Source organism: Homo sapiens, chromosome 6 (assembly GCF_000001405.40).
Source record: "Homo sapiens chromosome 6, GRCh38.p14 Primary Assembly".
Taxonomy (NCBI): Eukaryota; Metazoa; Chordata; class Mammalia; order Primates; family Hominidae; genus Homo; species Homo sapiens.
Window position 1 is genome coordinate 131,232,489 of NC_000006.12, and position 12,432 is coordinate 131,244,920.

At 39.4% G+C, this 12,432-nt stretch overlaps 1 protein-coding gene across 17 annotated transcripts in view; it reads left to right on the forward strand.

Annotated features, from left to right (window-relative positions):
• AKAP7 (A-kinase anchoring protein 7) overlaps positions 1-12,432 on the forward strand; it is a 157,906-nt gene that overhangs the window by 106,862 nt on the left and 38,612 nt on the right. The window contains exon 8 of one of the 17 annotated variants that reach the window (XM_047419568.1): positions 9,553-9,683. The exons of 15 other annotated variants lie outside the window; for them this stretch is intronic. In XM_047419568.1, the coding sequence (XP_047275524.1) occupies positions 9,553-9,563 (11 nt within the window). In that variant the 3' untranslated portion in view covers positions 9,564-9,683. Of the gene's footprint in view, positions 1-4,902; positions 5,065-9,552; positions 9,684-12,432 lie in introns of those variants that run through there. One more of the 17 variants, XM_017011506.2, reaches the window with a different exon arrangement.

Below are 12,432 nucleotides of genomic sequence, written 5' to 3' on the forward strand. Positions count from 1 at the left end.
AATGTTTTAAAAGTGCTTACCACAGTGCTTGACATACAGTGTTATGAAATCGTTACTGGCCGGCCGGTGGCTCACACCTGTAATCACAGCACCTTGGGAGGCCGAGGTCAGGAGTTAAAAACCAGCCTGGCCAACATGGCAAAACCCTGTCTCTACTAAAAATACGAAAAGAATTAGCCAGGCAATCCCAGCTACTTGGGAGGCTGAGGCAGGAGAATTGCTTGAACCTGGGAGGCAGAGGTTGCATGAGCTGAGATCACCCCACCGCACTCTAGTTTGAGGGACAAAGCAAGACTGTCTCAAAAAAAGAAAAAAGAAAATGTTACTTATTCATATCCATAGCAGTGCTAGTCATATAGAATACTTATTGCAATGGTATTATTTCCTAACATCAGAACATCAGTTTTCTATTATTTATTATTATTATTTATAATAATAATATTTATTATTAAAGATTTGCATTATTCCTAATGCTTTCCTTATTGGCGTGTGATCAACACTGGTGCATTTCAAAAGTAAAGATGCTTATATGTGTGTGTATATATATAACTTTTGCATACAATATTTTATATCATAGGTGAAGATAAAAACTTGGTTTAATTTTTTTGACTGGAAAAACAAAGTTGGCAAATCTGTATAATATAGTGTTATTTTAAAAAAACCTGCTAATGTGGTGAAATCACAATAGACAGACTTATAAAACTCACTAAATTCTTCTCCACTTCAGTGAAACATGGAGGAATTGGAGAGTATGTAGAATAGTAGAAAGAGACGGAGAAAGAGCTCAAACTACAGAGGAAAGCATAGTGACCAGAAGTTCCTACAATCAGGCAGACCTTATTCTAATGGTCACTGCCACTTCCCAGTTTCCAGCTGAGCAACTTTTTGCACATTTTTAATGACTCAAAGCCCAGTTACCCCATCAATAAAATGGGCATAATAAAATAGTTGTTATTTCATGAGGACTGAATGAGATAATGCATGAAAATCTCTTAGCATCATGCCTGGACATACTCAGTGTTCACTAACTGGTGCCTATTATTATTGTGGTAGAAATGCTACAAACTGTATATAGAATTCTTAAGCCCAGGAAAAACAAGGCTTAAGAGTGACTTATGGTAGGGTTAGTCTAAGAAAATGTCCATTTCATCTTAATCTTACTAGGAGTACACTATTCTAGGCATTAGGAAAAACCTTGAACTCTAAAGGATTAAGATACTAGAACAAGGTGTTAAGGGATTTGTAAAATACCTTTACTATCTTTTAAGATGGAAAAGAGCATATCATTTATGAGGTTATCTAATCTGGAGGTCTGGATTACCTCATGAAGTTTCTTCTGTCATTAGAATTTACGAAACCTCTATTTTGCATTAAATTGTATTTTAGTTTTTGTCACAGCTAGACCCTGATTACTATTGGATATCTGATTAATTGGAAGAGAGGTTTTTAAAATCCAATTCAGTTGCACCCTTTATTGTTATATAGTTACTCTTAAAATATGAATGGGGGTAGTGAAGTATGATTAGTGAGTAAATAGGTCTTGGTTGTCACACTGGCAGAGTGAATTTAGGATTCATTGATACTGCCTGAGTTACCAATTCATTCATAGCTCCCTGCTGGCATTTGAAGCATTGCTGACTACTGTGCACATAAAGGCTTCTCCTTTACTTTAAAACTTCTTCAGTTCAATTTTGGTTATTATAATTTATTTGTGCAACTTATTGAACAGGTATCTATTGAGGGTACCAAGTACCAAGCATTATGATGTGTATTTAAGATCAAAGATGGTAGGCAAACACAGCCGTGCTCTCAGAGTTTACTTTGTAGTGGGAAGTCATGCAAACAAACAATTACAATTTAAAGTGGTAATGACTGTAATGAAGTTAATGGGAACCAAGTGAAGGTGCTTTTAATGCTGCCAGGGATTGTCAGGACAGGCTGCACAGAAGAGGAAAGTTTTGAACTGAAAATGAGAATGTTCAGTGTGGAGGGAGGCAAATGAAAGAGAGATTTTCCAGGCCGAGAAAGCAGCATAAGCGACCCAGTGAAGTCTGTGCAGGGACGTGTAAGTAATTCACTCTGCACATGAATTACTTATCTTTAAGTAGTTCAGATCTTTTTTTTTTTTCACTTTTAAATATTTTTATTTGCTTTTTATATGTACGCTTTTATTTCTATATGTTAACCATTTTCTTCTCTCTCCTGTCCATTTTTATTTTATATGCAAGCTATTAGAAGTTAACTTTACAATTCAGTCTTTTTTTTTTAATGATACAACTAGTAATTTATTAAGACCATAAATTCCATTACAGTGACCCTGGTAGGCAACTCTGTAAAGTTTTGGGCTACTTGTCATGTGGTTTTGATTTATATTTGTCTAATGATCAGTGATTTTTTTATTTTATTTTTTTATTATTATTTCTTTTTTTTATTATACTTTACGTTTTAGGGTACATGTGCACAACGTGCAGGTTTGTTACATATGTACACATGTACAATGCTGGTGTGCTGCACCCATTAACTCTTCATTTAACATTAGGTATATCTCCTAATGCTATCCCTCCCCCACTCCTCCCACCCCACAACAGGCCCTGGTGTGTGATGTTCCCCTTCCTGTGTCTATGTGTTCTCATTGTTCAATTCCCACCTATGAATGAGAACCTGCGGTGTTTGGTTTTTTGTCCTTGCGATAGTTTGCTGAGAATGATGGTTTCCAGCTTCATCCATGTCCCTACAAAGGACATGAACTTATCATTTTTTATGGCTACATAGTATTCCATGGTGTATATGTGCCACATTTTCTTAATCCAGTCTATCACTGTTGGACATTTGGGTTGGTTCCAAGTCTTTGCTATTGTGAATAGTGCCGCAATAAACATAACGTGTGCATGTGTCTTTATAGCAGCATGTTTTATAATCCTTTGGGTATATACCCAGTAATGGGATGGCTGGGTCAAATGGTATTTCTAGTTCTAGATCCCTGAGGAATGGCCACACTGACTTCCACAATGGTTGAACTAGTTTACAGTCCCACCAACAGTGTAAAAGTGTTCCTATTTCTCCACATCCTCTCCAGCACCTGTTGTTTCCTGACTTTTTAATGGTCACCATTCTAACTGGTGTGAGATGGTATCTCATTGTGGTTTTTATTTGCATTTCTCTGATGGCCAGTGATGATGAGCATTTTTTCATGTGTCTTTTGGCTGCATAAATGTCTTCTTTTGAGAAGTGCCTGTTCATGTCCTTCACCCACTTTTTGATGGGGTTGTTTGTTTTTTTCTTGTAAATTTGTTTGAGTTCATTATAGATTCTGGATATTAGCCCTTTGTCAGATGAGTAGATTGCAAAAATTTTCTCCCATTCTGTATGTTGCCTGTTCACACTGATGGTAGTTTCTTTTGCTGTGCAGAAGCTCTTTAATTAGATCCCATTTGTCAATTTTGGCTTTTGTTGCCATTGCTTTTGGTGTTTTAGACATGAAGTCCTTGCCCATGCCTATGTCCTGAATGGTATTGCCTACGTTTTCTTCTAGGGTTTTTATGGTTTTAGGTCTAACATTTAAGTCTTTAATCCAACTTGAATTAATTTTTGTATAAGGTGTAAAGAAGGGATCCAGTTTCAGCTTTCTACATATGGCTAGCCAGTTTTCCCAGCACCATTTATTAAATAGGGAATCGTTTCCCCATTGCTTGTTTTTCTCAGGTTTGTCAAAGATCAGATAGTTGTAGATATGCGGCATTATTTCTGAGTGCTCTGTTCTGTTCCATTGGTCTATATCTCTGTTTTGGTACCAGTACCATGCTGTTTTGGTTACTGTAGCCTTGTAGTATAGTTCGAAGTCAGGTAGTGTGATGCCTCCAGCTTTGTTCTTTTGGCTTAGGATTGCCTTGGCAATGTGGGCTCTTTTTTGGTTCCATATGAACTTTAAAGTAGTTTTTTCCAGTTCTGTGAAGAAAGTCATTGGTAGCTTGATGGGGATGGCATTGAATCTATAAATTACCTTTGGCAGTATGGCCATTTTCACAATATTGATTCTTCCTACCCACAAGCATGGAATGTTCTTCCATTTGTTTGTATCCTCTTTTATTTCGTTGAGCAGTAGTTTGTAGTTCTCCTTGAAGAGGTCCTTCATGTCCCTTGTAAGTTGGATTCCTAGGTATTTTATTCTCCTTGAAGCAATTGTGAATGGGAGTTCACTCATGATTTGGCTCTCTGTTTGTCTGTTATTGGTGTATAAGAATGCTTGTAATTTTTGCACATTCATTTTGTATCCTGAGACTTTGCTGAAGTTGCCTATCAGCTTAAGGAGATTTTGGGCTGAGACGATGGCGTTTTCTAGATATACAATCATGTCATCTGCAAACAGGGGCAATTTGATTTCCTCTTTTCCTAATTGAATACCCTTTATTTCCTTCTCCTGCCTGATTGCCCTGGCCAGAACTTCCAACATTATGTTGAACAGGAGTGGTGAGAGAGGGCATCCCTGTCTTGTGCCAGTTTTCAAAGGGAATGCTTCCAGTTTTTGTCCATTCAGTATGATATTGGCTGTGGGTTTGTCATAGATGGCTCTTATTATTTTGAGATACGGCCCATCAATACCTAATTTATTGAGAGTTTTTAGCATGAAGGGTTGTTGAATTTTGTCAAAGGCCTTTTCTGCATCTGTTAAGATAATCATGTGGTTTTTGTCGTTGATTCTGTTTATATGCTGGATTATGTTTATTGATTTTCGTATGTTGAACCAGCCTTGCATCCCAGGGATGAAGCCCACTTGATCATGGTGGATAAGCTTTTTGATGTGCTGCTGGATTCGGTTTGCCGGTATTTTATTGAGGATTTTTGCATTGATATTCATCAGGGATATTGGTCTAAAATTCTCTTTTTTTGTTGTGTCTCTGCCAGGCTTTGGTATCAGGATAATGCTGGCCTCATAAAATGAGTTAGGGAGGATTCCCTCTTTTTCTATTGATTGGAATAATTTCAGAAGGAATGGTACCAGCTCCTCCTTGTACCTCTGGTAGAATTCGGCTGTGAATCCATCTGGTCCTGGACTTTTTTTGGTTGGTAAGCTATTAATTATTGCCTCAATTTCAGAGCCTGTTATTGGTCTATTCAGAGATTCAACTTCTTCCTGGTTTAGTCTTGGGGGGTGTATGTGTTGAGGAATTTATCTGTTTCTTCTAGATTTTCTAGTTTATTTGCCTAGAGGTGTTTATAGTATTCTCTGATGGTAGTTTGTATTTCTGTGGGATCAGCGGTGATATCCCCTTCATCATTTTTTATTGCGTCTATTTGATTCTTCTCTCTTTTCTTCTTTATTAGTCTTGCTAGCAGTCTATCAATTTTGTTGATCTTTTCCAAAAACCAGCTCCTGGATTCACTGATTTTTTTGAAGGGTTTTTGTGTCTCTATTTCCTTCAGTTCTGCTCTGATCTTAGTTATTTCTTGCCTTCTGCTAGCTTTTGAATGTGTTTGCTCTCGATTCTCTAGTTCTTTTAATTGTGATGTTAGGGTGTCAATTTTAGATCTTTCCTACTTTCTCTTGTGGTCATTTAGTGCTATAAATTTCCCTCTACACACTGCTTTGAATGTGTCCCAGAGATTCTGGTATGTTGTGTCTTTGTTCTCGTTGGTTTCAAAGAACATCTTTATTTCTGCCTTCATTTCATTATGTACCCAGTAGTCATTCAGGAGCAGGTTGTTCAGTTTCCATGTGGTTGAACGGTTTTGAGTGAGTTTCTTAATCCTGAGTTCTAGTTTGATTGCACTGTGGTCTGAGAGACAGTTTGTTATAATTTCTGTTCTTTTACATTTGCTGAGGAGTGCTTTACTTGCAACTAAGTGGTCAATTTTGGAATACGTGTGGTGTGGTGCTGAAAAGAATGTATATTCTGTTGATTTGGGGTAGAGAGTTCTGTAGATGTCTATTAGGTCTGCTTGGTGCAGAGCTGAGTTCAGTTCCTGGATATCCTTGTTAACTTTCTGTCTCATTGATCTGTCTAATGTTGACAGTGGGGTGTTAAAGTCTCCCATTATTATTGTGTGGGAGTCTAAGTCTCTTTGTAGGTCTCTAAGGACTTGCTTTATGAATCTGGGTGCTCCCATATTGGGTACATATATATTTAGGATAGTTAGCTCTTCTTGTTGAATTGATCCCTTTACCATTATGTCATGACCTTCTTTGTCTCTTTTGATCTTTGTTGGTTTAAAGTCTGTTTTTATCAAAGACTAGGATTGCAACCCCTGCCTTTTTTTGTTTTCCATTTGCTTGATGGATCTTCCACCATCCCTTTATTTTGAACCTATATGTGTCTCTGCATGTGAGATGGGTTTTCTGAATACAGCACACTGATAGGTCTTGACTCTTTATCCAATTTGCCAGTCCGTGTCTTTTAATTGGAGCATTTAGCCCATTTACATTTAAGGTTAATATTGTTATGTGTGAATTTGATCCTGTCATTATGATGCTAGCTGGTTATTTTGCTCATTAGTTGATGCAGTTTTTTCTTAGCCTTGATGGTCTTTACAATTTGGCATGTTTTTGCAGTGGCTGGTACTGGTTGTTCCTTTCCATGTTTAGTGCTTCCTTCAGGAGCTCTTTTAGGGCAGGCCTGGTGGTGACAAAATCTCTCAGCATTTGCTTGTCTGTAAAGGATTTTATTTTTCCTTCACTTATGAAGCTTAGTTTGGCTGGATATGAAATTCTGGGTTGAAAATTCTTTCATTTAAGAATGTTGAATATTGGCCCCCACTCTCTTCTGGCTTGTAGAGTGTCTGCCAAGACGTCAGCTGTTAGTCTGATGGGCTTCCCTTTGTGGGTAACCCAACCTTTCTCTCTGGCTGCCCTTAACATTTTTTCCTTCATTTCAACTTTGGTGAATCTGATAATTATGTTTCTTGGAGTGCTCTTCTCGAGGAGTATCTTTTTGGCGTTCTCTGTATTTCCTGAATTTGAATATTTGCTTGCCTTGCTAGATTGGGGAAGTTCTCCTGGATAATATCCTGCAGAGTGTTTTCCAACTTGGTTCCATTCTCCCCGTCACTTTCAGGTACACCAATCAGACGTAGATTTGGTCTTTTCACATAGTGCCATATTTCTTGGAGGCTTTGTTTGTTTCTTTTTATTCTTTTTTCTCTAAACTTCTCTTCTCGCTTCATTTCATTCATTTGATCTTCCATCACTGATACCCTTTCTTCCAGTTGATCAAATCGGCTACTGAGGCTTGTGCATTCGTCACATAGTTCTCGTGTCTTGGTTTTCAGCTTCATCAGGTCCTTTAAGGACTTCTCTGCATTGGTTATTCTAGTTAGCCATTCGTCTAATCTTTTTTCAAGGTTTTTTACTTCTTTGCCATGGGTTTGAACTTCCTCCTTTAGCTTGGAGTAGTTTGATCGTCTGAAGCCTTCTTCTCTCAACTTGTCAAAGTCATTCTCTGTCCAGCTTTGTTCCGTTGCTGGTGAGGAGCTGCGTTCCTTTGGAGGAGGAGAGGCGCTCTGATTTTTAGAGTTTCCAGTTTTTCTGCTCTGTTTTTTCCCCATCTTTGTGGTTTTATCTACCTTTGGTCTTTGATGATGGTGACGTACAGATGGGGTTTTGGTGTGGATGTCCTTTCTGTTTGTTAGTTTTCCATCTAACAGTCAGGATCCTCAGCTGCAGGTCTGTTGGAGTTTGCTGGAGGTCCACTCCAGACCCTGTTTGCCTGGGTATCAGCAGCGGAGGCTGCAGAACAGCGGATATTGGTGAACAGCAAATGTTGCTGTGTGATCGTTCCTCTGGAAGTTTTGTCTCAGAGGAGTACCCGGCCGTGTGAGGTGTCAGTCTGCCCCTACTGGGGGGTGTCTCCCAGTTAGGCTGCTTGGGGGTCAGGGACCCACTTGAGGAGACAGTCTGTCCATTCTCAGATCTCCAGCTGTGTGCTGGGAGAACCACTAGTCTCTTCAAAGCTGTCAGACAGGGACATTTAAGTCTGCAGAGGTTTCTGCTGCCTTTTGTTTGGCTATGCCCTGCCCCCAGAGGTGAAGTCTATAGAGGCAGGCAGGCCTCCTTGAGCTGCTGTGGGCTCCACCCAGTTGGAGCTTCCTGGCCGCTTTGTTTACCTACTCAAGCCGGGGCAATGGCGGGTGCCCCTTCCCCAGCCTTGCTGCCACCTTGCAGTTTGATCTCAGACTGCTGTGCTAGCAATGAGCAAGGCTCCATGGGTGTAGGACCCGCCGAGCCAGGCGCAGGATATAATCTCCTGGTATGCTGTTTGCTAAGACTGTTGGAAAAGTGCAGTATTAGGGTGGGAGTGACCCAATTTTCCAGGTGCCGTCTGTCACCCCTTTCTTTGACTGGGAAAGGGAATTCCCTGACCCCTTGCACTTCCCGGGTGAGGTGATGCCTTGCCCTGCTTCAGCTCACGCTCAGTGCCCTGCACCCACTGTCCTGCACCCACTGTCCTGCACCCACTGTCCGACGCTCCCCAGTGAGATGAACCCAGTTCCTCAGTTGGAAGTGCAGAAATCACCCGTCTTCTGCGTCGCTCACGCTGGGAGCTGTAGACTGGAGCTGTTCCTATTTGGCCATCTTGGTTCCACCCAGATCTTATTTTGTAGGGAATGGGAGCCATCAACATTTTTGGAGCTGGAAATGACATTATTAGATTTGTATTTAAGAAAAGACACTCTGCTGGTACAGTATAAGCACGATGGTTGAGGGGGAGCAGGAAACTGATCAGCAAGACCAATAAGTAGGCAGGAATGGTAGTCTAGGCAGGTCATGATAATTGCCTGCACTTGGCATTTGCAGTGGATGGAGAAGGAGAAGGAGGAGGGGTGCATTGCAGATCTTGGTAGGCAGGAGAATCAATATTTTAAGATTTTGGATAGATTTTGCAAAACAGAAGAGAACCCTAGGTTGGCTCCCAGATTTGGGGTTTAGACAACTAGGTAGACAGTGGTGCCCTACACCAATTGGTGGTACAGGATAAAAGAGAAAACAGATTTTGGTGACAAGAAGATGATGAGTTCAGTTTTGGGCATATGAAAGCAGCTGTGGCCCAATTAAGGGGCTTGTTGAGGAGAGAGGTCCAGGACATAGATTATATATATGTGTGTGTGTGTGTGTGTGTGTGTGTGTGTGTGTGTGTGTGTGTGTGTGTATATATATATGACAGTTATAGGATTCAGTGGCATTAGGTTAGTAGTTCAAGCTATGGGTATGAATGAAATAGCTGAAGGTTACCTGGGAAACCTAGAACTTCAGATTTGCTTTGCAGCTAGTTACCTGAGATATGTATTGTACAGAAAGGATGGAGACCTTAAACAAGAGGCTATGATAGAGATAAAAGGTTTTGGAAATTATTTCCATAAGTGTGACAGATTTGTTAATTGTTTCTTGTTGGTCTGTGGAACATCAGTAGCCTAAAAATGTCTCTGTGTGATTCAAGATTGCATCTTCTACAGAGAAACTTGCTCTGGTAGAAATGAAGATAATGAGGGCTAAAGAAACACAGAGTATATTTTATTTCCCTTTATGAAGTTTAAATTCTGTCTTTTTTAATTAACCCACAGGGATCCTTTGATATTGTATCTGACCGTAATATGTTTTATATAAAATGCCTAAGGGACTGAGTGTGAGCAACTGAGAAAACAACAGTTTGTCAATTCATGAATTGTGGTTCTATTTGATCTTCTATTACTAGAGTAATGATTCAGGTGAGTATTTTATCTTGATTCTGGCTATGAGTAAAGGAAGCGCAATTGACCATCACAGTTTTATATTTGGTACCAAAGAACCATAGCTGCCAAATATGTGTTCATTGCTAACAACTTGGATCATAATAAGCGGAAGCTTTTACTTAAGCAGTCAGTCTTAGTATAATAAGGTTTAGAGAAAGGCAGTTCACAGTTTTGCTACTTGTTCTCCAGCCATGTATTACAATTACAATTTTGTTTATTAGTGTGGAAGCATGACACTCTTTTTCAGTGATTTACTTTTTAGGCTTTTCCCCCCTTTTTTGCTATATATATAATTATATATATATATAATTACTTATAGACCCTTTTAATCACTTTCTTAATATTAATTGACCAAAAAGCAGATACAGATTTTTATTAAAAGGTAAACACAGAACACTAGCAGACACTAGTAGCTTGCCTATTCTGAGCCCATTTTCTTCGTTTTCACTGTGATAAAGTGGGCCTCAGGCCACATGGGCCTGACTTTTGCCCCGAAGGTGATGAGCTCCATTCTTCTTCCTAGTGATTAGTGAAGGAAGTGGCATGTGACCCAATTTCAATATATGTGAGAAGTCTGCTGGGGACCTCAGCAGTTTCTTATACTTAATCTACTGACTAGTATTTGTATTATGGGACATGGCTGCTTTCTAAGTCAAGTGCCTTTAATCTGTTAATGCTCTAGACCTTTCAAAGGAGAAACCAACATCCTTCACAAGAAGGAAAGAGACATATTTCAGAAACGCTGGTAGGGCCCAATGAGTTGATAAAAAGAGATTTAGAGGGAAGAGACTACCATTTTTTAGCTGCCAAGTGTTGGGTGTACATGTGAAGCCTAGACTTTGCTGCCATCTTGGCCATGGGGGACAGTGGGTGACTGTAAGTATGCAGGCTGAGCGTGGGGCACTAGGAGGATGAGCCGTGATGATCTTGTCAAGCCACTGAATTAACCACCCCTTGAGTGACACTACCATAGCTTATAGGATTATAGGAGATAATGACATTTCTTTATTTTTAAACCAGATGAATCAAGAATTTTTGGTATTTGCAGCTGAGTGCATCCTAACAGATACACATTTCAGTTGTGGATTAAGAAATGTGTGAACAGAAAATAGATTCAGTGGGATATTTAAACGATAGTTCTGACAGTTACCACATGTTGTTAGAAGCATCCATAAACAGACTAATCAGAATGAATACTGACATGGCGTATCGGAGGCATGTCAGCCGGGGCTGTGGTGGACCATGACAGATTTTGAGACCTGCCAAGAGCAGCCTTGATTTAACAGCATTTTATCTGGTATAAATAAATTTTCTTTTAATTGAGGATTCACTTTCATTCTTCCTTATCCCTTTAAGTGTTATTATAGGAAAAAAAGCTTTAATAATAATATATTGAGTTATTAAAGTACCTTTTATTTGAAGCTTGACATACCAGGAAATGTGACTGACTGTTGTCTTGCCCAAGGTCAAACACTGGGCCACTTTCAGAGCTAAATATAGATTGAGAGCATTCCACATAAAGAATAATTAGGACCTGTGAAAAACCTCCAATGATTTAGAAATTGTAGAACCAAATTTTCTGTTGTTTACATTGTTAAACTACAAGTAAAATCTTCTCATTGGGCCCTGTTGGTGTTTCTGAAATATGTTTCTTTTCTTCTTGTGAAGGATGTTGGTTTCTCCTCTGAAAGGTCTAGGACATTAAAAGATTAAAAGCACTTGACTAAGAAAGCAGCCATGTCTGATAATACAAATACTGGTCAGTAGATTAAGTATATTCTTTGCTTTTCCTTTTTTTTTTTTTCCAAATAAGGTTTTAACATCCAAATATTTAACTTGTTTTTGAGGAAGTAACTCATGTCAGTTTTTGTGATTTCAGTAATGCTTGAAAAAAGGTCAGACTGTAAAAAGCAGGGCTGAACAGTATCTGTCTAGAATAAGTGACTGTTATTGGCCTTTGTTCTCCTGTTACTGTTTTGGGTTAATAAAACTCCAGTATGACTTGGCACAATGGGAATGCTGGGCTCCTTCCAGCTCCCCTAAGGCCATGACTTCAAATGGGGAGCTCGTACCCTCCTTGGGCCCTGGCTCTCTCACCTACTCTGGTGGCACCCGTTGACACAAGAGTTAACTTTACCGCAAGAGCTTATGTGATGATCATATTAGCTCATAGTATGTGTTCAATAAACAGTGGATGGAATTAAACTGATAGCAGGGTATGCTGTAAATGTGAGGTGTCCAGATATGTGCTGGGACTTGTCAGCCCATCTTTCAGCCTCCTACATCCAGTGCTCTCAGTGCTCTACTGCTGTGTGTCCTCTAAGCAGGGAGATAAATTTTCCTCCCTAACTTATTTCTCAATTAAGGAGAAGGCTTTGACTATCCATGCCGTTAAATGTTGGGCCACACACATAGAAAAGAACTGACTGAATAGTAACCATGGAGTAGGCATTTGAAAATTGGCACTAAGCAGAAATGCATCAGCAGAGATTTCGGAATGACTCTTGTGGATTGGTGAAGAATAAGGACTTCTTTGGTAGCTCTTGGTATCTACTTGTTTCTTCCCCTTTCCTAAATGCACATATGCTGTATATGGCATCTTATGCTTTTATGGCTTCTGTTTTATAGAAAAAAAAATTCTCTTTCCATTTGCTATACATATTAAAATTGTATAGCATATGGCAGTTTCAAATACAAATACCTATAACTTTT